General features: G+C 40.0%; 1 annotated feature.

Annotated features, from left to right (window-relative positions):
• Nucleotides 3033-3202: an enhancer, noted in NCBI's record as "experimental_108158 CRE fragment used in MPRA reporter constructs". NCBI's record gives its function as "activates a minimal promoter by MPRAs in K562 erythroleukemia cells, with activity observed for the non-introgressed 9:83720351 variant allele {active_cell/tissue: K562}" and the evidence as "EXISTENCE:reporter gene assay evidence [ECO:0000049][PMID:34662402]".

Raw genomic sequence — 3463 nt, forward strand, 5'->3', positions numbered from 1 at the left:
GAGGATCAATGTCGCTGCAGAGATTCTTCAAACAAACCAGAGAAAAATTAGCTGTGGAGGTGATGAAACTTTTCCATATCCTGATTGTAGTGGCGTTTAGAATTCAAAAAAATGAACACAAACATAAAAAGTCAATTTTCCTGAAGGATAACATAAAACATAAAATTAAAGCAACACAGAAGTCATGGAAAATACTAGTTCTCCATTCCTCCAGAACAGGAAAGAATCACAGTTTTTAAAAACAACACAAAAAGGAACTGTCTGATTTTAATTTCTTGGAAAGAATGTTTGCATTACATCCTGTATAAGGCTCCTCTCTTTAAACTAGGCCTAAATGCCACAAACAAAAAAAAAATCATACAACAGTTGAATGTTCATATCAAAAGAAGTCAAACATTCCTATCTTGCCACACATTAAATAATTTTTTAATTCATTCATTTTTCCCAATGGAAGGCCTGTTTCCTAAATTCTTCCCTTTTCTTTAAACAGCTCCATTAGTATCCAACATTGTATCCAACACCTCACTCACTGTTTGGCACATGGTAAGCATGCAATACATTTCTGTCAAAAATCAACCATTTATGTTTACCCCCAAATGTGCATATCCTGATGAAGTCAACATAACACTGAAAAACTTATCATCACCCAATAAATGATTGCTCACTAATGTCATCAATGACCACATAGAGCAAATATAAGCAAAACAAATCCACAGATTTGTGGATATGTGCATTCAATAGCCTGTGTCCATTTATCTTCACACATTTTGGGCATGGGCTAGTGTCTGGCTCTACAATGCCTGCTGAGCCAGACTTTTGAGAGACAGATAAAGATTAGGGTATCAAAGAGAACAGTGCGGTATTAGGGGATGTGTTTAAGAATTCAGAACATTTCATATTTTGACTGGATAAAGGATGGGAAAATAATCCTCAAACACCTCTCTCTTTCCTTTGCTTTTCCTCCAGTGTTATCAGTTTACACTAAATATCAAATCTATCAGTGATATTTAGCATTACTCAGGATGCTGCCATACCACTGTAGAAGGAAAAATGAGAGAGAACCCCTTCTTCAACGTTGTCACAGCCCAGAGAAAAGACACCTAAAGCGAATGTAACCTTTGTAACCTGATTCCCAACCACAAGACTCTGAACTCTATTATGTTCCTTTGTCTTTTGGCTTAGGAAAATTCATGTTGTTGACCTAAGGTGAACAGTGATGAACACATCCTCCTGGTTAGTTCAGAAATTCATCAGCCTTCCCCAGGCAAACTGTTGATCTCTTTTTTGCTTTTCCAGAACCAAGTCTAGGCTACAGCCACTGGCAGAGCAGTTGTATTATGAGTAAAGCAATCAGTGGTCTGGGGTTGAAATCTCCGAACAGTTTTTCCATCTGTGACATCAATTCTGTTTGGGAGCAGAGGTGACAGGCTTGCGTGTTAGCCGGAGTGTTTGCTCTGCCTCACAGAGTACAGACAAGCCAGTGCATCACCTCACCTGGCCAGTGCGTGCTCTAAGCTTGCTCAGGTTCATGTCACAAATGCAGCTGCAAGCCTGGCCACATTGATTGTGTGTCCCAGTTCCCCTCTCACTTAAAAAAAAAAAAGAAAAAAAAAAGAGAAACTGTCCTTTATTGGTCCCTCTTCCTCAACACATTTGAAAAATTTCCTCCAGGTCAAAGCATTCATTCATTTTCCTTTGAAATTCTCTAGATGCATTTTTCAGATCAGCCACTAGATGCCCAGATGCCAAAATGAAACTCTAGCAGCTTTTCTATGGAAAACACGATGGTTTTGTAATTTAACAAAGATAGATTATTTCAACTGTGCTGTCACAAAGCGTAGGAAAGGCTTTCGTATCCTCGGGGAGTTGTTTTGTTGCTGTTTTTTAATGTATAGAACAATGTCTTTATATAGATTAAGAGAAAAAAGCTCTTAAACCAAAAATTACTGGAAATAAAAAAGTTCAGAAGCTGCCACTACTTCACTGATAATATAGTGTAGAAAAAAAATATAGCTTTTCCCTTAGACTACAGTATCCAAGCTTCAACCTTCACGCTTCTCATAAAAATAAAATAAAATAAAATTTTTTTAAAAATTGTCCTACCAGCATCGCTGTCTAGCTTACCTATAGCAGTGCCTGGAATACCAGAGTCTGAACACACAAAAATTAAAGAAGCAACCAGGGGCGTTAAAGTATCCCTGACATAGGTAGGGTTAATATCATAATTTCATTGTCCATGTTCTTTTCTGGCTTTTTCTGTTCTGTTTGTTTAGAGGATAGATCAGGTCCATCCTGGCTTCTTTATTATTTATTTGTTAATTTTTACACAGAGCCTCACTCTGCCCCCTAGGCTGAAGTACAGTGATGTGGCCTTTGTTCATTGCAGCCTTGAACTCCTGAGCTCAGAAATCCTCTTGCCTCGGTCTCCCAAAGTGCTGGGATTACAGGCATGAGCCATTGTGCCTGGTCATTCTGGCTACTTTTTATGTGGGACGTGGGCAATCCACTGAGCATCCAGACACCAGGGACTGGGCTGCAAAGAACCTCAAAATCACAGCCTGGGAATACTAGTGAAGAAACACGAGTTAGATTTGCCTGCATCTGAGTGGCTGGGAAGAGAGAGAGAGAGCAGAGCACGAGAAAGGTTTTTAAATTCCGAAAGGACTATACATGGAACTCCAAAACTGTGGGTCTAGAAGGAAACTCTGAGGGCACTTCCACCAACAGAAAAGACAATTTTCTCACCCTCATGGCCCTACTTTCCTCACTGATGGACATAAGCCCTTCCTATGCAATATAACTAAACATGCTATATAATTTTCAACAGGGCTTTAATGATCTTCCAAAACAATGGAGGAAAAACACTTTATAGATAAATTAAAATCCCCAGGCCAGCCTCACATCCATCATGGGGTCTGTTACTCAGACGTTTTCCTGCCTCACTCCCAACCTGCCTCCACTGGCCAGGGGCACTTCACCTTTTGCCTCAGCAAGTTATCTCACTGCCTCCACACTTGGGGATCCAAGCCGAACTTCCTTCTGGGTTCTAGAGAGAGAAGAAAGCTGTTTTATCCCTTTGTGCAAAGACTTAACTTCTGCAAGACTTCCTTCCCTGTTCTGTGATATTCCTGGAGTAATTACACAATCACCCCAGGTTCTGATCCAGATACATGGTGACATAGGCTGAAATATTTAGATTTTCCCACTGTCACCTAATGCAAGAAAGAACTTGCTGTTAAAGCTGAGAAAAAGTGAGACGTGTGAAGTCCAAAGTACTGAGCACCCCATCACTGGAAAGGGTTTAGAATGAGGCAGTGAAATCCCAGCCCAGGAAACAGTTCATGAATTGAGGGAACAATTAGCTTCAGAGTCCTCATTTAGTATATCCCATCCAATTATATGTTTCTATTATTTTTATAGACCCCACACTGGAATGCAAACAGGGCAGGTCCAGAATTTGGGA

The sequence above is a fragment of the Homo sapiens genome, chromosome 9, assembly GCF_000001405.40.
Source record: "Homo sapiens chromosome 9, GRCh38.p14 Primary Assembly".
In the NCBI taxonomy this organism is placed as follows: Eukaryota; Metazoa; Chordata; class Mammalia; order Primates; family Hominidae; genus Homo; species Homo sapiens.